The following is a 22,842-nucleotide window of genomic DNA, read 5'->3' on the forward strand; positions in this document are numbered from 1 at the left end:
CCCCAGCTAATTTTTGTATTTTTAGTAGAGATGGGGTTTCACCATGTTGGCCAGGATGGTTTTGACCTCTTGACCTCGTGATCCGCCCGCCTTGGCCTCCTAAAGTGCTGGGATTATAGGCGGTGAGCCACTGTGCCCAGACTTTTTTTTTTTTTTTTTTTGAGACAGAGCCTTGCTCTGTCACCCAGGCTAGAGTGCAGTGGCACCATCTCAACTCACTGCAAGCTCCGCCTCCCAAGTTCAAGTGGTTCTCCTGCCTCAGCCTCCTGATTTCAAATCATTTGTCTTTACTTCCTTCAGGGTTGTACGTAGAAAGCGAACCTCTTCCCTTAAGAATAAAATAGAGGCCGGGTGTAGTGGCTCATGTGTGTAATCCCAGCACTTTGGGAGGCCGAGGTGGGTGGATCACCTGAGGTCAGGAGTTTGAGACCAGCCTGGCCCACCTGGTGAAACCCTGTCTCTACTAAAAATACAAAAATTAGCTGCGTGTGGTGGCAGGCGCCTATAATCCCAGCTACTTGGGAGACTGAGGCAGGAGAATCACTTGAACCCGGGAGGCAGAGGTTGCAGTGAGCTGAGATTGTGCCACTGCACAGGCAGTTCGAGACCAGCCTGACCAACATGGAGAAACCCCGTCTCTACTAAAAATATAAAATTAGCCAGGCATGGTGGCACATGCCTGTAATCCCAGCTATTCGGGAGGCTGGGGCAGGAGAATCGCTTGAACCCAGGAGGCGGAGGTTGCAGTGAGCCGAGAAAAAAAAAAAAAAGAATAAAATAGAACCACCAATGTAGAACTTGAATAGACAAAGCTACATTATGGCCTTTTGGACCATGTATTGACTTCATGTCAATCTGAACAGCCCCTAGAAGAACACCTTAGTCTATTCTAAACCAGTGGGATAGACCAGAACAGAGATGGCCACAGCTGCAAACTTGCCCATTTTTGTTTCTCTTCTGTTGCTCATAAGCAAAACTGAGGGATCTTTTTTTTTTTTTTGAATCGGAGTCTCACGCTGTCACCCAGGCTGGAGTGCAGTGGCGCGATCTCAGCTCGCTGCAGCCTCCACCTCCCAGATTCGAGCAATTCTCTGCCTCAGCCTCCTGAAGAGCTGGGATTACAGGCGTCCGCCACCACGCCTGGCTAATTTTTGTATTTTTAGTAGAGATGGGGTCTTATCATCTTGGCAAGGCTGGTCTTCAACTCCTGACCTCGTGATCCACCCACCTCAGCCTCCCTAAGTGCTGGAATTACAGGTGTGAGCCACCGCGCCCAGCCTAAAGCTGAGGGATGTTAAAAATCTAAAATAAAAAAGACGGACAATACCAAATGCTAGTGAGGATGTGAAGCAACTCTTATACCCTGTAGGATGGTAATGTAACTTGGTATAACCACTTTGGGAAATTGGCGTTATCTACAAAACTCTACACATACATTCCTTGTGACCCAGCAATTTCCCTCCTAACTACATACCCCAAAGAAAAGGGTGTGAATGTTTACCAAAAGACACGTATGAGGATGTTCATAGTAGCAGTATATTAATAGCTAAAAATTATAAACTACTTAAATGTTCATGAACAATAGAATACATAGATAAAATATGGCATAGTCATACAATGGAATATTAAACAGCAGTAAAAATGAATGAATTAAAATTTTACACAACATGGATGAATCATACAAACATAGTGTTGAATAAAAGAAGCCAGACACAGGGTACATACTATATCATTCCTGTGGTCCTATTTGGGAGGCTGAGGCAGGAAGATTGCTTGAGTCTGGGAGTTTGAGGCTGTAATGAGCTGTGATCACACCCCTGCACTCCAGCCTGGGTAATAGAGCAAGACCTTGTCTTTAAAAAGACAAACAAAAAACAAGGAAAATAAGCTATGGTGTTAGATATTAGGATAGAATATATCTTTTGTGGGTATAGTGACTGGCAGGGGGCCTGAGGCAGTTTTGGGGGTTCTGATAATCTTTCTTAAATCTGGGTGCCGGTAACTAGTTTGTGTTCACTTTATGAACATTTATCAATCTGTACGTTATAATTTGTACACTTTGTATGTTGCGCGTCAACAAAAAGTTCACTTGTCCCACAAACAAATGCTCAGGAGTGTACAGAGAGGTCAAACTATGCTCACTGCCGTAAAGAACATGTCCCTCTTGGAAGGCATCACTGAGGAAGAGAGGTACTGGGGTTTGTTCTTCATAAAGGGTAGGATTTAGATGGGAGGAGAGTTGAGGACATTACAAAATGAAGGAACTTTAAGCTGGGCACGGTGGCATGCACCTGTAGATCCAGCTACTTGGGAGGCTGAGGCATGAAGATCCTTTGAGCCCAGGAGTTCAAGTCCAGCCTGGGCAACATAGCAAGCCCTGTCTATAAATAAATAAATAAATAAATAAATAAATAAATAAATAAATAAATAAATAAAGTCTTCAGAGAAGAGAAGAGAAAAGGGAAAGAAAAATGAAGGAACTTTGTTAACCAGTAGGCCAGAGGTAAAAGTGTGCAAGATGAGTTTGGGAGACGATGAACTGATCAGGTTAGCTGGAGTGCAGGGTAAATGGCTGAAGAGTTAAGACTGAATACTCAGCTGGGGTCAGACTGGCTTCAAATGCTAAAGCTCAGATGGGTGGCCGTTGGCCCAGTGAGAGCCAGAGATGTGCTTTGTTTCCTCTACAGTGATTTTTTTTTCAGTGTATCCCCAATGTTCAGCAATTGGGGGAGGTCATATAAAATGACAATTAGAGGAGTTCAGATTTTTGGCAGTACTGTGATTACACATTTTATTGTGGGAAATGAGGAATATTTCTTTATGCTTAACATAGAAAACTTTTTTTTTTTTTTTGAGATGGAGTCTTGCTCTGTCGCCCAGGCTGGAGTGCAATGGCATGATCTTGGTTCACTGCAACCTCCGCCTCCCGGGTTCAAGCGATTCTCCTGCCTCAGCCTTCTGAGTAGATGGGATTACAGGCATGCGCCACAACAGCCAGCCAATTTTGTATTTTTAGTAGAGATGGGGTTTCACCATGTTCGCCAGGCTGGTCTCGAACCCCTGACTTCAAGTGATCCACCCGCCTCGGCCTCCCAAAGTGGTGGGATTACAGGCGTGAGCCACCGCGCCCGGCCCATAGAAAGCTTTTAACATGTACAGAACTTACTTTATTTTTCTACTTGGTACTTGTTGGCTTTTTTTTTTTTTTTTTTTTTTTTTGAGACAGGGTCTTACTCTGCCACCCAGGCTGGAGTGCAGTGGCATAATTACAGCTCACCATAGCCTGGACATCCCAGGCTCAAGTGATCCTCCCACCTCAGCCTCCAAAGTAGTTGAAGACTACAGGCTCACACCACCATGCCTGGCTAATTTTTTTTATTTTTTGTAGAGATGGGGTCTTGCTATGTTGCCCAGGCTGGTCTCCAACTCCTAGGCTTAAGCGCTTCTCTCATCTGGCCTCCCAAAGTGCTGGAATTAGAGGCAGTGAGCCACCATGCCTGGCCATAGGCATTTTTATTTGCGATTTGGCAGTTAGGGGGCTTAATATTCACAAGTATGTATACTAAACCATTTGAGAATTCCCCTGAGAAGCTTTTCAGATAATTTGAAATTAAAGAGATTATTTTGTGAAATTATTTTTATTACGGCACACTTCATAGTATCTCAGAGCTTCTCAGGTTTTTCTTTTTTCTGAGATGGAGTTTTGCTCTTGTCACCCAGGCTGGAGTGCAATGGTATAATCTTGGCTCACTGCAACCTCTGCCTCCCGGGTTCAAGCGATTCTCCTGCCTCAGCCTCCCAAGTAACTGGGATTACAACCGCCCGCCACCATGCCCAGCTAATTTTTGTATTTTTATAGAGACGGGGTTTCACCATGTTGGCCAGGATGGTCTTGAACTCCTGACCTCAGGTGATCCACCCGCCTCAGCCTCCCAAAGTGCTGGGATTACAGGCGTGAGCCACCGTGCCCGGCCAGGAAAATATTTTCATCTAGAATTTTAGCAATTTTTTGAGAATAACCAGTAATAATTTTCTTTTTCATTTTAGGTACTCCAGTAATTAAAGGGGATGAGGAAGAAGACAACTAATGCCACGCTTTCCACTGTGTGTTAACTTATTTAAATGTCATAAGAACAATAGATAAATTTTATATAATTGTCTATTTTAAAGATTCTGTATGGGACAAAAGTTTCTTAAGATAAAACAGATCACTCATTCTCATCTTTTTTTTTCCTTTAACTTATTCAGTGTTTCTCCCCAAAACTGGTAATGCCAACCTTATATATCCTATTTCTCTTTTTAGAAACCACAAATTTTCGATTTTTGTCTTCAGTCTCAGTTACGTACTGTGTAGCCCCATCTACTAAAACAAAACCTTTGTAGACCAGTCATTTTTAATAACAAAGGAACAAATGTTTTTTTCAGTTTGTTCATTTTTTTTAGGTTAGACATTTTAAAAGATGTACATTTGAAAATTCAGAACATTTTTCCTGAAGGTCTGTCTCTGTACAATTCAGAAGCACATGCCTTTAGCTCAGAAGGCAGCATGGTGATGGGAAGAGTTCCTCTTAGAAATACAGCAGGTCCGGAACCAAGACTCCAAAGTTCCATTGGAAAAGATATGGTGAAAAAAGGAAAAAGTAGTATCTCAGAGACCTTCTAGTCTATATTATACTTATTTGTTTTTCCAAAAATGTGCACATTGTCAACTGGAATTTAGGTTGTTTTTATATGCATGGCCACTTGAGTCATTGTGTACAGTCATTCTGTGATCTCAGTTAGTGGTTAAAATGACTGTCATGATCATTTCTTTGACTGATAATGTGGCAATGTTACTCATGTGGACCTCGCCTTAAGCACACATTTTGGTTTTATAGTTCCTTATGTGTTTAAAGCATTAGTTATATTTGAATTCCTAGACTAAATGCTGGCCATTGATGTATGTCAAAATTTACCCTAATTATTTGGTCTGGTGACCCTCATTGTTGGGAAAAGTGACTACCATGGTTATAAGTAAGGGTATAATGAAACTTAGTATTTCAAAATATATTTTTTGAGAAGTTCTAAGTTAAACAGCTCTTAAAATGTATTATGTACGTGGTTGTGGAGGGAAGGGAGATGTTTCATTATGAGATCCCAGGCAAATGGCAATATGTTTGAGGATTGTCTCCTACATAAAGCAGTGTAGGTGATTTAACCTCAAAATTGCAAAGCAATAGTTAGATGCAGAGGTTAGAATTTATCATGTAAACAAAAAATCCTTCAGGAAAATGTAAGACATTGTAGTCAGTAAGCAGATGAGGTCATAGGAGGCCATGGCTGGATCACTATTAGATTGCAGAAAAGAAGTCAGGGGCCCTCTGCCAAATTGTGCCTAAAGTCCCTCAGAGACTGTTGATTCTGGTTTCCCCATCTACTTGTGTGATTTTACTTGCATAAAATCACAGTGAAAGAGGGAAGAATCATCTTTAAAAAGTGATTGCATAAGTAGTCCTGGGTTTCAGAAGATTTCAGCTATCATTTACATAGGAATTACTTGATTTTTCTAAGTTACTCTGATCAAAAGGGACCACTGCTTTGACAATCAACTCTAAATACAAACAAGAGGCCAGGCGTGGTGGCTCATGCCTGTCATCCCAGCACTTTGGGAGGCCGAGGCGGGCGGATCATCTGAGATCAGGAGTTCAAGACCAGCCTGACCAACATGGTGAAACCCCGTCTCTACTAAAAATACAAAAATTAGCCAGTCCTGGTGGTGGGCGCCTGTAGTCCCAACTACTCGGGAGGCTGAGGCAGGAGAATCATTTGAACCCGGGAGGCGGAGGTTGCAGTGAGCCGAGATTGCGCCATTGCACTCCAGCCTGGGCAATAGAGCGAGACTCCATATTTAAAAAAAAAAAAAAAAAAAAAAGAGGAAAACTTGGTCTAACACCCTTTTAGTTTTCTTTTCTCTCTTCTTTTCAATCTGATAGGAAGAAACCTTATTCTACTCTAGCTGGTTTATGCATTCAAAGCCTTTGGACATTTCTTTTATGAACCATAGGCAATGAGCCTTCATTCTCCTTGGTGATGTTTTAAGTTCCATAAACTGAGAGGGAAGATGATCTTCTTAAAGTTTGCACTTCCTTCAGTAGGCAAGCTTGAAGCCATGTTGATATGGATATGTTTTCTAAAAGTAACCCTGGAAGTGAATATAATAGGAAGTAAGTGATTTCATATTGAATTTATTTGTAAAATGGCTTAGAGTTTTGGTGTTTGTTTTTTCTGAATTCTGTAATATAGAAACTGGTTCTCTTTCTCCTTGTTTCTCAATGACTTTTAATTACAGGTAGTTCTCAGACAAATGTAAGATACTTTTCTCTGTCCATTTCATGCAAAATTCATATTCAGTATCATTCAACAAATCTTTGAATGACTTCTATGCATCCCTGTTCATGGAACCCATGCCATTAGAAAATGGCAGTTGGGATGTATGAAGAAATGTAGGATATTCTCTCAAATCATTCCCTAAATTATCCTTTACTGCTGCAAATTTAGCTGATAAAACTGCCTTTGGTTTATGCCTCTTGGATCAGATATTTGACCTATGTGGAATAGATTATCTCTGTGCTTCCGGTTTAAGACATTACGCCATTTTAGTGGATCATTTAAATTTTTTCTATTCTGTTTTTTTTTGTTTGTTTGTTTGTTTGTTTTAAACAGAGTCTCACTCCCGAGTAGCTGGGACCACAGGCACGTGCCATCATGCCTGGCCTATTTTTGTATTTTTAGTAGAGATGGGGTTTCACCATGTTGGCCAGGCTTGTCTTGAACTCCTAACTTCAGATGACCTGCCCACATCGGCCTCCCAAAGTGCTGGGATTACAGGCATGAGCCACCGTGCCTGGCCAAATTTCTTCTATTCTTGTAAGTGATGGTAAAACTCTGGAATCAGTCCAGTATTTTAGTTTTTCACAGCAAATTTGATTTTAGTCTACCAAGGAGTTTAACTTTTCTATGTTCCCTAACTCTAAGATTAGGGCTGTATTACCTAGACAGGCCTTAAAAGGTTTTTGTGTTGTTCTCTGTTAATAAGAATTTGTTCCTTTAAACCAGAGGATCAACCTTGGAACTATTAACATTTTGGGATTGATAATTCATTGTTGTTGGGGGCTGTCCTGTGTGCTTAGGATGTTCAGCTGCAGCCCTGGCCTCTACCCACTAGATTCCAGTAGACCCCCTCCTCAGCCATGACAACAAAGATATCTCCAGACATTGCCATCTGTCCCTTGGGTAGGAGGGTGGGAACAAATTCTCCCTTAGTTGTACTTTTTATACCAACATCACTTGTGTCCAGGGTCCATTTATTTTCAGTCTGTAGCCATGTGCCACTTGAATTGTTATATGAGAGAAGGTGATGTATTCAGTAATCATGGATGGAAAGAAATGGTCACTGGTATTTTTTGTAATGCTCATTTTTTTTTTTTTTTGAGACAGAGTCTCGCTCTGTTACCTAGGCTGGAGTGCAGTGGCGCAATCTCAGCTCACTGCAACCTCCGTCTCCCGGGTTCAAGCAATTCTTCTGCCTCCGCCTCCCAAGTAGCTGGGACTACAGGCACGCGCCACCATGCCTGGCTAATTTTTGTATTTTTAGTACAGACGGCGTTTCACCATATTGGCCAGGCTGGTCTCAAACTCCTGACCTCGTGATCCGCCTGCCTCAGCCTCCCAAAGTGCTGGGATTACAGACGTGAGCCACTGCGACTGGCTTAATGCTCATTTTCATAATTTTCATGTAATATTAGAAACTCAGGGCTGGAAGGTTCAACTTCTCTTTTTTGAAGCAGGGTCTCAACTTTTATTTCTAAGCATTCTTGCTTATCTTAGGACAGTGATTATTAACCTACCTCTCTGTTTCTATCAACAGAAGCCAACTTTATGATAGATTTTGCTTTGTCTCTAAAGTTTAATATTTTGAGTGTACTTTAGAAAATAGGTCATCATTCTTTAAGCGTCATTCATTGTCTAATCACATAATTTTGCAGACCATGGCAGTCATTAAATACAGAAAAATACTGTGTAAAATTTGATAATCTTGTAGGAAAGTTAGCTGATGTAGACATCAATTTTGGATGTGATCAGAAGAATGTCTGCTTAAGATAACTGGTCAATAACTTGGTATGGCTACTGGATTCATTCCACATATGGTAGTATAAGGCACTTAAATGTGTTTCCTGATTGGGCACTGTGGCTCATGCCTGTAATCCCAGCACTTTGGGAGGCCGTGGTGGGCAGATCACTTGAGGTCAGGAGTTCGAGGCCAGCCTGGCCAACGTGGTGAAACCCCATGTCTACCAAAAATATAAAAAGATAGCCGGGCGTGGTGGCGCATGCCTGTAATCCCAGCTACTCGGGAGGCTGAGGCAGGAGAATTGCTTGAACCCGGGAGGCAGAGGCTTCAGTGAGCCGAAATAGTGTGACTGTACTCCAGCCTGGGTGACAGAGTAAGTCTCCGTCTCAAAAAGAAAAAAAAAAATGTGGTTCTTTTGTGGAAAGAGGAATTTGAACTTGAATAAACACTTCTTTTGACACCTTTTACCAGTGGTCTGAAGCAGAATAAGGAAGAATAAGAAATGAATCTTGACTGTTGACTTATTCTGAGAATTGGTGATGTGTAAAGAGAGTTGGAATCTTCTACCTGGGTTTTTCTCAGGGCTAAATGGAAAAGCACAGGGCCCAGAAAGGTTGGAGTTAATCATTCACTTAAAAGCATTAGGAGGAAGTGTCAAAGCATCAGTCATGAATAGATTATGTCTCTCTGACTACAGTCAGACCATCAATTCACTAAGACCTTATACTCTGTAAGTGTTGGTAAAGGAAGAAAACTGCTAAATTGCATGTTACCCTTTACTAGAAATTCATTCCTTTGGCACAGATTTTATTTATTTGGGGCTGTTTAATGTGTCTGTAAATCATGAAATATAAAAGCAAGATTCAGTGTAGCAGAGTTGGTGCTTCTTCTGACAAGCTAACTTGACCATATTTCTTTATCTGTGCTCTAACATGTGTCATATTGTTTTCTTTTTGTAAACCATAAAATGGGTGAACTTCCAAAAATCAAGGGTCATGTTTTAAAATCATGGAACTTTTAGAAATACCATATCTGTATCTCTATTCCTGCATTTTATAAATCTGTAAAGGAAGAAAACTGAAAGGAAGAACTAGACTGAGTCTTACCTTTCTCTGACCTAAGATAAACTGATAAAACTTTTTACTTGATATTTGGAGAAGTCATTAACTGGATTCTAGTTAATTTCCCATATTGGGCAGTTTAGAGGAGACCCAGCCAACCAAATTATGATCTAGCAAATTTAACATAGGGGAAGAGGGATAGTAAACTATTTTTCAGTAGATTTGCACTTTAAACTTAGGAACTGGATGTTGGTGGAAAGGACTTCCATAGGGCAGATGGGTAAATATCTAGCCTGCACTTGGATGTTAGAGAATCAAACCTCACCCTTGCTCGTTCTAAACCCACATGAGTAGTTAACTGTCTTTTGACATAATCAGAGTCAGGATTTCCCTTTTTCCCTACTTGAGTCGTCTTCCATGTCTGTTACATCCAAGATCATCCCTCTGGGGGATGTGTCAAGTAGTTCTCCTACTCAGAATAGAAGCTTTGCGAATTATCATTCCCACCTCTAGATTTTAAATGAATGTAGAGTTGTCTAACATTATATGGGTGGGAGGCTCTTTGCCTCTGTGATCAGTAGGGTACCTGCCTCTGAGGTGCTACTGCCTGGAGGGATCACTCCCATCAAAAGACTGGTGAGTTGGAAGCTAAGAGCACATGCGCATAGCCAGCTCCTCTCCCAGGCTGGCAGTCATGATTACGAGCATCATTCCAGAATCTTTGGCTTCTAGAACCAACTCCATTCTGAAGAACATTTTAACATCTATGAATACCTTGGTAATAATCTTTTATACACAGGAGTTTTGTAGCATGACTTTATGACTAAACTTATTGTGAATTAAGTTATTTAGAAATGTTGAGTTTCTGAATGTTATTTTGTGATTTGTTTCAAAATGGTAATAAATTGTGTTATTTTGTAAAAAAAAAAAAAAGTATATTTTTGGTACATGATTATTAGTTTTAGCTAATATAGAGCAATTATATAAACTTCTAGTGATATTCAGTCCAAAGAAATTCAGCCTTTGGATAACATGTACCATGCAGTTTGTGTGGTGTGTGTGTGTGTGTGTGTGTGTGTGCACGTGCATGAGAGAGAGTGAAAGAGAGAGGTGTTTTTTGTTTTGTTTTTTTTGAGACGGAGTCTCACTCTGTTGCCCAGGCTGGAGTGCACTGGCACAATCTCGGCTTACTGCAACCTCCACCTCCCGTGTTCAAGCGAGTCTCCTGCCTCAGCCTCCCGAGTACTGGGACTACAGGCGCACACCACCATGCTTGGCTAATTTTTGTATTTTTAGTAGAGACGAAGTTTCACCATGCTGGCCAGGTTGGTCTCGAACTCTTGACCTCGTGATCTGCCCGCCACAGCCTCCCAAAGAGCTAGGATTACAGGCACGAGCCACCGCGCACGGCCAGAGGCATTCATTTCTTTAGCTAAGTTTTTTTTTCTTAGTAGGTTTTTTTCTCCCAGGCTTGTAACTCTTCCCCAGTTCTTTGGGCACTATTTCAAATTATTAGGCTTCTGGAAAGAGTGCTTCCAGGGACAGCAAGTTACTACTGCACTTGACCATTCCTAGTCCTCACCTGATTACCAGAAGGTACGCAAGGTAAAAGTTAGCTGATAGGCCCTGAATTGAGAAAAAGGAATCACCAAGCAATATCCGTAACATTACACATTTTGCCAGCACATTTTCTATGCTATCAGCTAAAACGTAATTTTGGTCACAAAATAGGGCTGTAGTGTAGTTTCTACTTCTTATTCCAGTTGTTTGATTATGAGGATACATTTCTTGCTGCTGTCCTCCACTAAACAGCAGACAAATTGCCAGGTGTGCTGGCTCATGCCTGTAATCCCAGTGCTTTGGGAGGCCAAGGCAGGAGTTTGAGACCAGCCTAGGCAACATCGTGAGACCCCATCTCTACAAAAAAAAAAAAAGAAAAAAAAAATTAGTTGGGCATGGCAATGCCGCCTGTGGTCCTAGCTACTGGGGAGGCTGAGGCAGGATTGCTTGAACCCAGAAGTTTGAGGTTACAGTGAGCTATGATCATGTCACTGCAAGACCCTGTCCCTAAAAAAAGGAAAAACAAATAGAAGACAAATTTCAATTTCTGAGTTTATACAAAGAAAGCCTTAATTCAGATCATAAATATCCCATTGTTATTTTTAGTTCATTGTTTCCTAGAACAAAGGATGGACATTTAGGATCCTCACATTGATTTATGTCATATATATGTATTGCATTGAATATATATATACGCATGTAGATACATACAATTGTTATATATAATTAAAAGTCAGAATCTTAGGTGATAACTGTCAGACCTCTGAGCCCAAGCTAAGCCATCGCATCCCCTGTGACTTGCACGTATACATCCAGATGGCCTGAAGTAACTGAAGATCCACAAAAGAAGTAAAAATAGCCTTAACTGATGACATTCCACCATTGTGATTTGTTCCTGCCCCACCCTAACTGATCAATGTACTTTGTAATCTCCCCCACCCTTAAGAAGGTTCTTTTTAATTCTCCCCACCCTTGAGAATGTACTTTGTGAGCTCCACCCACTGTCTGCAAAACATTGCTCTTAACTTCAGCGCCTATCCCAAAACCTATAAGAACTGATGATAATCCACCACCCTTTGCTGACTCTCTTTTCGGACTCAGCCCGCCTGCACCCAGGTGAAATAAACAGCCATGTTACTCACACAAAGCCTGTTTGGTGGTCTCTTCACACGGACGTGCATGAAATTTGGTGCCGTGACTCGGATCGGGGGACCTCCCTTGGGAGATCAATCCCCCGTCCTCCTGCTCTTTGCTCTGTGAGAAAGATCCACCTACGACCTCAGGTCCTCAGACTGACCAGCCCAAGAAACATCTCACCAATTTGAAATCCGGTAAGCAGCCTCTTTTTACTCTCTTCTGCAACCTCCCTCACTATCCCTCAACCTCTTTCTCCTTTCAATCTTGGCACCACATTTCAATCTCTCCCTTCTCTTAATTTCAATTCCTTTCATTTTCTGGTAGAGACAAAGGGGACACGTTTTATCCGTGGACCCAAAACTCCGGCGCCGGTCACGGACTGGGAAGGCAGCCTTCCCTTGGTGTTTAATCATTGCAAGGATGCCTCTCTGATTATTCACCCACGTTTCAAGGGTGTCAGACCACACAGGGACGCCTGCCTTGGTCCTTCACCCTTAGCGGCAAGTCCCGCTTTTCTGGGGAAGGGGCAAGTACCCCAACCCCTTCTCTCCTTGTCTCTATCCCTTCTCTGCTTTTCTGGGGAAGGGGCAAGTACCCCAACCCCTTCTCTCCGTGTCTCTACCCCTTCTCTCCGTGTCTCTACCCCTTCTCTGCCTTTCTGGGGGAGGGGCAAGTACCCCTCAACCCCTTCTTCACCCTTAGCGGCAAGTCCCGCTTTTCTAGGGGGCAAGAACCCCCAATTCCTTATTTCCACACCCCGACCTCTTATCTCTGTGCCCCAATTCCTTATTTCTGCACCCTGACCTCTTATCTCTGTGCCCCAATCCCTTATTTCTGCACCCCGACCTCTCAACTCTGTGCCCCAATCCCTTATTTCTGCACCCCAACCTCTTATCTCTGTGCCCCAATCCCTTATTTCCGTGCCCTGACCCCCCTTCCCGCTTTTCTGGAGGGTAAGAACCCCCGAAACCCTTCCCTCCATGTCTCTACATTCTCTTTTCTCTAGGTTTGCCTCCTTCACTATGGGCAACCTTCCACCCTCCATTCCTCCTTCTTCTCCCTTAGCCTGTGTTCTCAAGAACTTAAAACCTCTTCAACTCACACCTGACCTAAAACCTAAATGCCTTATTTTCTTCTGCAATGCCGCTTGACCCCAATACAAACTCGACAGTAGCTCCAAATAGCCAGAAAACGGCACTTTGAATTTTTCCATCCTGCAAGATCTAAATAATTCTTGTCGTAAAATAGGCAAACGGTCTGAGTTGCCTGACGTCCAGGCATTCTTTTACACATCAGTCCCTTCCTAGTCTTTGTCCCCAATGCAACTCGTCCCAAATCTTCCTTCTTTCCCTTCCGCCTGTCCCCTCAGTCCCAACCCCAAGCGTCGCTGAGTCTTTCTAATCTTCCTTTTCTACAGACCCATCTGACCTTTCCCCTCCTCCCCAGGCTGCTCCTCGCCAGGCCGAGCTAGGTCCCAATTCTTCCTCAGCCTCTGCTCCTCCACCCTATAATCCTTTTATCACCTCGCCTCCTCACACCTGGTCCAGCTTACAGTTTCGTTCCGTGACTAGCCCTCCCCCACCTGCCCAGCAATTTACTCTTAAAAAGGTGGCTGAAGCTAAAGGCATAGTCAAGGTTAATGCTCCTTTTTCTTTATCCCAAATCAGAAGCATTTAGGCTCTTTTTCATCAAATATAAAAACCCAGCCCAGTTCATGGCTCGTTTGGCAGCAACCCTGAGACGCTTTACAGCCCTAGACCCTAAAAGGTCAAAAGGCCGTCTTATTCTCAATATACATTTTACTACCCAATCTGCTCCCGACATTAAATAAAACTCCAAAAATTGGAATCTGGCCCTCAAACCCCACAACAGGACTTAATTAACCTCACCTTCAAGGTGTACAATAACAGAAAAAAGTTGCAATTCCTTGCCTCCACTGTGAGACAAACCCCAGCCACATCTCCAGCACACAAGAACGTCCAAACGCCTGAACCACAGCAGCCAGGGGTTCCTCCAGAACCTCCTCCCCCAGGAGCTTGCTACACGTGCCGGAAATCTGGCCACTGGGCCAAGGAATGCCCGCAGCCCGGGATTCCTCCTAAGCTGCGTCCCATCTGTGTGGGACCCCACTGAAAATCCGACTGTTCAACTCACCTGGCAGCCACTCCCAGAGCCCCTGGAACTCTGGCCCAAGGCTCTCTGACTGACTCCTTCCCAGATCTTCTCGGCTTAGCAGCTGAAGACTGACACTGCCCGATTGCCTCGGAAGCCCCCTAAACCATCACGGATGCCGAGCTTCAGGTAACTCTCACGGTAGAAGGTAGTAAGCGCGTCCCCTTCTTAATCAATACGGAGGCTACCCACTCCACATTACCTTCTTTTCAAAGGCCTGTTTCCCTTGCCTCCATAACTGTTGTAAGTATTGACGGCCAGGCTTCTAAACCTCTTAAAACTCCCCAACTCTGGTGCCAACTTAGACAATACTCTTTTAAGCACTCCTTTTTAGTTATCCCCACCTGCCCAGTTCCCTTATTAGGCTGAGACACTTTAACTAAATTATCTGCTTCCCTGACTATTCCTGGACTACAGCCACATCTCATTGCCGCCCTTCTTCCCAATCCAAAGCCTCCTTTGCGTCCTCCTCTTGTATCCCCCTACCTTAACCCACAAGTATAAGATACCTCTACTCCCTCCTTGGTGACCGATCATGTACCCCTTACCGTCTCATTAAAACCTAATCACCCTTACCCCACTCAATGTCAAGATCCCATCCCACAGCACGCTTTAAAAGGATTAAAGCCTGTTATCACTCGCCTGCTACAGCATGGCCTTTTAAAGCCTATGAACTCTTCTTACCATTCCCCCATTTTACCTGTCCTAAAACCAGACAAGCCTTACAAGTTAGTTCAGAATCTGCGCCTTATCAACCAAATTGTTCTGCCTATCCACCCGGTGGTGCCAAACCCATACTCGATACCTCCCTCTACTACCCATTATTCTGTTCTAGATCTCAAACATGCTTTCTTTACTATTCCTTTGCACCCTTCATCCCAGCCTCTCTTTGCTTTCACTTAGACTGACCCTGACACCCATTAGGCTCAGCAAATTACCTCGGCTGTACTGCCGCAAGGCTTCACAGACAGCCCCCATTACTTCAGTCAAGCCCAAATTTCATCCTCATCTGTTACCTATCTCAGCATAATTCTCATAAAAATACACGTGCTCTCCCTGCTGATCGTGTCTGATTAATCTCCCAAACCTCAGTCCCTTACAAAATAACAACTCCTTTCCTTCCTAGGCATGGTTAGTGCAGTCAGAATTCCTACACAAGAGCCAGGACAGGACTGCACCCTGTAGCCTTTCTGTCCAAACAACTTGACCTTACTGTTTTAGCCTAGCCCTCATGTCTGTGTGCAGCGGCTGCCGCTGCTTTAATACTGTTAGAGGCCCTAAAAATCGCAAACTATGCTCAACTCACTCTCTACATTTCTCATAACTTCCAAAATCTATTTTCTTCCTCATACCTGACGCATATACTTTCTGCTCCCCAGCTCCTTCAGCTGTACTCACTCTTTGTTAAGTCCCACAATTACCATTGTTCCTGGCCCGGACTTCAATCTGGCCTCCCACATTATTCCTGATACCACACCTGACCCCCATGACTGTATCTCTCTGATCCACCTGATATTCACCCCATTTCCCCATATTTCCTTCTTTCCTATTCCTCACCCTGATCACGCTTGATTTATTGATGGCAGTTCCACCAGGCCTAATCGCCACACACCAGCAAAGGCAGGCTATGCTATAGTACAAGTCACTAGCCCGCCTCTCAGAACCTCTCATTTCCTTTCCATCGTGGAAATCTATCCTCAAGGAAATAACTTCTCAGTGTTCCATCTGCTATTCTACTACTCCTCAGGGATTATTCAGGCCCCCTCCCTTCCCTACACATCAAGCTCAAGGATTTGCCCCCACCCAGGACTGGCAAATTAGCTTTACTCAACATGTCCCGAGTCAGGAAACTAAAATACCTCTTAGTCTAAATAGACACTTTCACTGAATAAGTAAAGGCCTTTCCTACAGGGTCTGAGAAGGCCACCACAGTCATTTCTTCCCTTCTGTCAGACATAATTCCTCAGTTTAGCCTTCCCACCTCAATACAGTCTAATAACAGACCATCCTTTACTAGTCAAATCAGCCAAGCAGCTTTTCAGGCTCTTAGTATTCAGTGAAACCTTTATATCCCTTACGGTCCTCCATCTTCAAGAAAAGGAGAACGGACTAAAGGTCTTTTAAAAACACACCTCACCAAGCTCAGCCACCAACTTAAAAAGGACTGGACAATACTTTCACCACTTTCGTTTCTCAGAATTCAGGCCTGTCCTCAGAATGCTACAAGGTACAGCCCATTTAAGCTCCTGTATAGACGCTCCTTTTTATTAGGCCCCAGTCCCATTCGACACCAGACCAACTTAGACTGTGCCCCAAAAAAACTTGTCATCCCTACTATCTTTTGTCTAGTCATACTCCTATTCACCATTCTCAACTACTCATACATGCCCTGCTCTTGTTTACACTGCTGGTTTATACTGTTTCTCCAAGCCATCACAGCTGATATCTCCTGGTGCTATCCCCAAACTGCCACTCTAAACTCTTGAAGTAAATAAATAATCTTTGCCGGCAGGACTATGCTGAATCTCCTTAGGCACTCTCTAATCAGATGTCCTAGGTCCTCCCAATTCTTAGACCTTTTATACCTGTTTTTCTCCTTCTCTTATTCCATTTAGTTTCTCAATTCATCCAAAACCATATGCAGTCCATCACCAATCATTCTATACGACAAATGTTTCTTCTAACATCCCCACAATATCACCCCTTACCACAAGACCTCCCTTCAGCTTAATCTCTCCCACTCTAGGTTCCCACGCCGCCCCTAATCCCGCTTGAAGCAGCCCTGAGAAACATCGCCCATTCTCTCTCCATTCCACCCCCCAAAAATTTTCGCCGCCCCAACACTTCAACACTATTTTGTTTTATTTTTCTTATTATAAGAAGGCAGGAATGTCAGGCCTCTGAGCCCAAGCCAAGCCATCGCATCCCCTGTGACTTGCACGTATACATCCAGATGGCCTGAAGTAACTGAAGATCCACAAAAGAAATAAAAATAGCCTTAACTGATGACATTCCATCATTGTGATTTGTTCCTGCCCCACCCTAACTGATCAATGTACTTTGTAATCTCCCCCACCCTTAAGAAGGTTATTTGTAATTCTCCCCACCCTTGAGAATGTACTTTGTGAGATCCACCCCTGCCCGCAAAACATTGCTCTTAACTTCAGCGCCTATCCCAAAATCTATAAGAACTAATGATAATCCACCACCCTTTGCTGACTCTCTTTTCGGACTCAGCCCGCCTGCACCCAGGTGAAATAAACAGCCACGTTACTCACACAAAGCCTGTTTGGTGCTCTCTTCACACGGACGTGCATGAAAATAACTTCCCTCCTAAGAATGCAGCCAACTCTGCATCTATGAAAAGAAGGTCTATCCCCCCATGTTTAAACTGTAGAAGGATGTCCATAACATATTGGGCCAAAAAAAAAAAAACCCCAAGCATACACCAAAAAAACAAAACAAACAACCCCCCCGCCCCCCCCGAATAATCCTTATATACCTAGTTTGTTTTTTTGGTGCATCTGTGTGCGTGGTTTTTTGTTTTGTTTTGTTTTTTTCGAGACAGGGTCTTGTTCCGTCACCCCAGGTTGGAGTGCGGTGGCATGTTCATAGATCACTGCAACCTTGAACTCCTGGGCTCAAGCAATCCTCCTGCATCAGCCTCCTAAATAGCCTGGCTAATTTTTAAATTTACTTATTTTTGTGGAGACAAGGTCTTGGTATTTTGCTCAGGCTGGTCTTGAACTCCTGTCCTTAAGTGATCCTCCCACCTCAGCATCCCAAAGTGCTGGGATTACAGGTGTGAGCCACTACAACGGGCCCATTTTTAAAAATGTAGTATGTGGGCCAGTTGTGGTGGCTTACGCCTGTAATCCCAGCATTTTTGGAGTACTTTCAAACCACGAGGTCAGGAGTTTGAGACCAGCCCGGCCAACATGGTGAAACCTTGTCTCTACTAAAAATACAAAAATTAGCCGGGCGTAGTGGCACACACCTGTAATCCCAGCTACTTGGGAGGCTGAGGCAGGAGGATCACTTGAGCCCAACAGACAGAGGTTGCAGTGAGCTGAGATTACGCTACTGCACTCCAGCCTGGGCAACACAGCGAGACTCCGTCTCAAAAAAAAAAATGCAGTATGTGTGTATATGTGTGGAGTGGGAGTGTGTATACATATGTGGTGGCTGGTTGGTGTTTGGTGGTGGGAGTGTGTGTGGGTGTGAGGAGAAATGGGAATATATGTTGGGGGTGGGAGACTGACATCGTGTACATGTGGAGCAGGAGGAGGGTGTATGTTATGATGGGAGTACTGACGGGGAGATGACAGTGTGTCAAGAGTGTAAGAGGGGTGAGTGTGCACCTGATGCTGGTGGGAATGGAGGGGAAAGTTCTGTGAATGATGGGTAGCAGGTGAAGACATGCCAAGTGTTTGTGGTAAGTGAAGCTGAGCATATCTGTTGGGAACCAAGGCAAGTATGTGGAGATGTTTTTGTGACAGGAGGAAAGGGATGTACTGACATGAAGCGAATACGTGTACCGAAAAATCTGGAAGAACATACATTACCCCTTATAGACTTGTCGAATGGCTCAGCTATAATTTTAAAACCTTATTAGGGAAAGGCTCACTGAACACAATATTCATGTAATAACTTTAGATTCACTGAGGATCTCAAAAGATGGACATCTTCAATCACTGAATCTTTGCAGCAAAATAAACATGTTTTAAAGTTGTATTTCCCTTTTTATATCGTCCTGCTATAAAATGGTTGCTGTAAAATAGCCTTCATTTTACACAGGTGTGATGAATTATAGCTATTTCTTCAGTGAAACAAAATGTTTAGCTGAAAAGTGATCTTAAGAGAAAAACACTGCCAGATAACCTCCTGAACCCCATTTCAAGATTTTCTAAAAAAAAATTTTTTGAGAAACAGGGTCTCACTCTATCACCAGGCTGGAGTGCGGTGGGACGATCATGGCTTACTGCAGCCTCAACCTGCTGAGCTCAAGCGATGTCCCACCTTAGCCGCTGGGTGGCCACCTTAGTGCTGGGACCACAGGCGTGTGCCACCATGCCTGGCTAATTTTTAAAAGTTTGGGTGGAGATTGGGTCTATGTTGCCCAAGCTGGTCTCAAAATCTTGGCTTCAGGCAATCCTCCCTAAGTGCTGGGATTACAAGTGTGAGCCAAATCTGGTATCTAAATTTTTTTTTTTTTTTTTTTGAGATGGAGTCTCACTCTGTTGCCCAGGCTGCAGTGCAATGGCGCAATCTCGGCTCACTGCAACTTCCGCCTCCCAAAGCGATTCTCCTGACTCAGCTTCCCAAGTAGCGGGAATTACAGGCACGCACCACCACACCCGGCTAATTTTTGTATTTTTAGTAGAGACGGCGAGGTGGCTCACGCCTGTAATCCCAGCACTTTGGGAGGCCGAGGTGGGTGGATCACTTGAGGTGAGGAGTTCCAGACCAGCCTGACCAACATGGTGAAACCCGTCTCTACTAAAAAAATACAAAATTAGCTAGGCGTGGTGGCGCATGTCTGTAATCCCAGCTACTCAGGAGGCTGAAGCAGGAGAATCACTTGAACCCGGGAGGCAGAGGTTGCAGTGAGCCGAGATCGCTCCATTGCACTCCAGGCTGGGCAACAGAGCAAGACCCTCTCTGCCCGATAAAAATAAAAAATTTTAAAAATTAAAAAACAAAACAAAAAACTGTTAAGATGACAGCAAGAGGGGAAGGAAAAAAAGGACCTGCCATTTAAATTCACATAGTATCATACAAAGCTTAAAATAAATGGTTTGATTTAATGACAAAGTCTTCATAAGAAAAAAGGACAGTTTACTTAGGCTAAAAATGTTTATACATGCCAGAAAAATGAGAAGACAACAGAATTTTTAAAATATTTTAATTTGTATATATAACTTCAAATTTAGAACACTCAGTATGAACAAGAACTATTCTCTGACAAAGATGTGAAATGGGGGAGTGAATTACTGTACAGGTGCATATCAACCTCTCCATGCAATTTACATCTGTATCTTATGCAATGAGAAACTGGTTTACACAGCTCCGTAACTGCAGTATTTTTTAACACCCCATTTTGCAGTCTCAGAATACTTTTCAATTAAACTGGTCGACATGTTTAAAGATGAGAAATAAGATGTTTGCATTGTAAAGTTGAGTAATAGCTAATAAATGCACACTTCCTTCCATTAATATAAATCTGGAACAATTTATGGTAAACAAAAATCTATCCGCGTTATCAGTAATCTAACAGTGCATACTTTTACTGAACACTTCCTGTGAGCCAGGCCTCGTAGTAAACATCTGAACATGCAATTTCACATTCAGTGTGGAATAAGAAGTGTCATAGGTTCGCGTGTTTTTCACAACTGATTATGATGTCCATGATGACAGCGTGCACTAAGCGCTGTGTCCAACCAACCCTTTACCTGGCATTTTAGCCAGCAAGACCCGCTTGCATTGCAGTCGTTCACGGTGCTCGCTGGCACAATTTTAGAATGTTACATGAATACTCAGGCCTGACTAACCTTCCCCTCCAAAAAACAACAAAACAGAACAAGGCTAAGCCTTTACTACTCAGAGACACATCTGTAAGACCCCACAGGGACAAGAAAAGTAGCTGTGATCTAGGTCTGCACTAAAGCTGCCTTTCCTGGCACTCAGAAGTGCCCTTCCAGGCCTAACTGCAGAAGGGTGGCCTCAGCCTCCTCCTCCTCCTCCTTGGCTTCCTCCTCACGGATCTGCACCAGCAACTGAAAGAGGTTTGGGGCTGGCCCTTCCCCAGCCCCGGTAAGCCACAGCTGCCTTCGGATGGCCCCGCTGTGGTTGGCCCCGGCAATGACCTGCTCTAGGCGGGCCTGGTTCACATTATCTTTATCAATGGCCCCCTTCTCTACCACCTTCTGTAGCAGAGGCTCCAGACGAATGACATAAGCAGACAATTTTTCTCCCGGGTTCTGATAAGTGTTCAGAAATTTGATCTGGGCATCCCTAGAGCTCTCAACGCTCCCAAACACCTGCTCAAGCGCCTTCAGGCATTCGGCAGTGGTTATCGCGGGGTTGTTGGACTTAAGGATGCGAATAACATCAGCGGCGGGGCCTCTAAGACTCTCCATCAACCGCCGCCTCTTTTCTACATCGGACACCTGCCACTCCTCTAGGACCTCATTAGTGTGCTCCAGCCAGGGATCAAAGGTTTCCTCTCCAGGCCCTGGGATGTCCCTCCCCGAGAAAAGTGTCAGCCTCTTGTACCATATGGACTCAACAAGAGGCTGAATAACATTATCCAAAATATAGTTTAGCATCTCTGCTGGCATCTCTGGGCCCGGGGTCGGAGTAGGGTTCTGAAACCCAAGGACACGGGCAACATCTTGCACGGTCCACCCCTCTCTAGCTAGGAAGAGGTGCAATCTTTCTAAAAATTCAGCATCAGAAGTTGGGGGCTTAAATAACACTTTCCAGACCCCTCCTTTGCCCGGCATCTCCCTGGGGATCGCGGCGTAATCTACAGCGCCAGTGAGCTCTAATAAGGCTGCTTTCGCATTTTCTTCCCTCCAGAACATTCTCCCAAGCATTCGGTAGGAGACCTGGGGCATCGCAGCCTGGAGGGTCTCTTCGATTTCAGCCTCATCACAGTTCACTGGGATGCCCCAGACTAACAGAGCTCTCTGGGAGTTCACATCCATCCCCCGGCACCAGTCTTCCAACAGTGTCATCGCCATTTTCTCAACTATCAAGACGCCAAATTCTACCAACAGACTGTGGCTCACCGTGCTCCTGGCCTTAGAACAATACCAGACACTCCCACCAAGTAGGCCCGAGGGAGGCGACCTTCATGCAGTCACGATTAACAAAGACAGAGTCCTGATCTCGCCCTTCTCTGCCCCCACAGTCAGTCCGTAGGTGCACTCGGAGCCGAGCTCGGGGACGCTGAGGCAGTCACGCGGCCGTCGCCATCTTGCGTCTGGGTCTGGGTCCGGTCGGGTCCGCCGCCTGCAGCAGGGGCGTCGCGTCGTCGTGCAGCGGGCGAGGAGCGACGGCGGGCGGCGAAGGCAGGCGCGCTGGGCCGAGAGCCGCCGGGGTGTGGTCGCGGGGCGTGGCCGCCGGGCGCTCGCTGCGGCTCCTGGAGAGGATCGGGCGTTCGCGGTCGCAGCCTGGTCTTCCCGCGGGCGAGGAGCGGCCGTTTGGGAGACTAGCCAGAGGGAGAAACTGTGCCGAAGTCGCGGCGGCTGCGGGCCAGCGGAAAGCGGCTTCTTGGCGGGCGCGGGGACTCCTCTGGGCGGGCGGCGAGGACGGCCGAGGACCAGAAACGAAGGCAGCAGAGGAGCAGGAAAGTCGGAGAAGCGAGGCTGGAGACAGCAGAGGCGAGGGTGGGAAGGGGCGGCCGCGGCGGCCCGCAGCGGTTCAGGCGCTGCGCGGCTGCTCTGGCGTCCAGTCCTACCCGCAACCCGCCGCGACGTTACTGCTGCAGTGGAGGATGGGGCCAGCCGGCGAGCGGCGTCCGCCCCGCCCCGCCCCGTCCCGCCCCCGCGGCGGAGCTGCTCGGGCGTCTCCATGGCAACGGTGTCCCAGCCGGCGCGAGGCACGCCTGCTCCGGCGGCTCGCGGGGGTCGAGCGGTTGCCGTGGAGCCAGCGAGGGGCTCGGGCATTTGTTTCTCTGATGGCGCATTTCCTTTTTCATAATTTAGCATTTTAACAGTAAACAACTACTACTAAGCACCGTGTTTTAAAAATAATAACCCAATCCTGGAGTGGATTTAAGATGATATTGTTGGAAAT

The 22,842-nt window shown here is 44.9% G+C and overlaps 2 protein-coding genes across 5 annotated transcripts in view, besides 4 other annotated features; one reads left to right on the forward strand and one right to left on the reverse strand.

Annotated features, from left to right (window-relative positions):
- DNAL1 (dynein axonemal light chain 1) overlaps positions 1-11,878 on the forward strand; it is a 58,747-nt gene extending 46,869 nt beyond the window's left edge. For all 4 annotated transcript variants that reach the window (XM_024449715.2, NM_001201366.2, NM_031427.4 and 1 more), the window contains one exon: positions 4,048-11,878. In XM_024449715.2, the coding sequence (XP_024305483.1) occupies positions 4,048-4,088 (41 nt within the window). In that variant the 3' untranslated portion in view covers positions 4,089-11,878. The remainder of the gene's footprint in view (positions 1-4,047) is intronic.
- Positions 6,076-6,245: an enhancer, noted in NCBI's record as "experimental_36590 CRE fragment used in MPRA reporter constructs". NCBI's record gives its function as "activates a minimal promoter by MPRAs in K562 erythroleukemia cells, with activity observed for both the introgressed and non-introgressed 14:74164718 variant alleles {active_cell/tissue: K562}" and the evidence as "EXISTENCE:reporter gene assay evidence [ECO:0000049][PMID:34662402]".
- On the reverse strand, positions 19,929-22,530 carry PNMA1 (PNMA family member 1). Its single transcript, NM_006029.5, has one exon. It carries the CDS (start codon positions 21,783-21,785, stop codon positions 20,724-20,726), a length of 1,062 nt encoding a protein of 353 aa, NP_006020.4. The 5' UTR covers positions 21,786-22,530; the 3' UTR covers positions 19,929-20,723.
- Positions 21,926-21,985: an enhancer, noted in NCBI's record as "active region_8707". NCBI's record gives its function as "activates an Ori minimal core promoter by ATAC-STARR-seq in GM12878 lymphoblastoid cells {active_cell/tissue: GM12878}" and the evidence as "EXISTENCE:reporter gene assay evidence [ECO:0000049][PMID:35858748]".
- Positions 22,076-22,245: a silencer, noted in NCBI's record as "silent region_5913". NCBI's record gives its function as "represses an Ori minimal core promoter by ATAC-STARR-seq in GM12878 lymphoblastoid cells {active_cell/tissue: GM12878}" and the evidence as "EXISTENCE:reporter gene assay evidence [ECO:0000049][PMID:35858748]".
- Positions 22,426-22,705: a silencer, noted in NCBI's record as "silent region_5914". NCBI's record gives its function as "represses an Ori minimal core promoter by ATAC-STARR-seq in GM12878 lymphoblastoid cells {active_cell/tissue: GM12878}" and the evidence as "EXISTENCE:reporter gene assay evidence [ECO:0000049][PMID:35858748]".

Source organism: Homo sapiens, chromosome 14 (assembly GCF_000001405.40).
Source record: "Homo sapiens chromosome 14, GRCh38.p14 Primary Assembly".
Classification (NCBI taxonomy): Eukaryota; Metazoa; Chordata; class Mammalia; order Primates; family Hominidae; genus Homo; species Homo sapiens.

Excerpts from the sequence above, each read along its gene's own strand:
- PNMA1 (NM_006029.5), bottom strand. The coding sequence starts at position 21,785 with ATGGCGATGACACTGTTGGAAGACTGGTGCCGGGGGATGGATGTGAAC.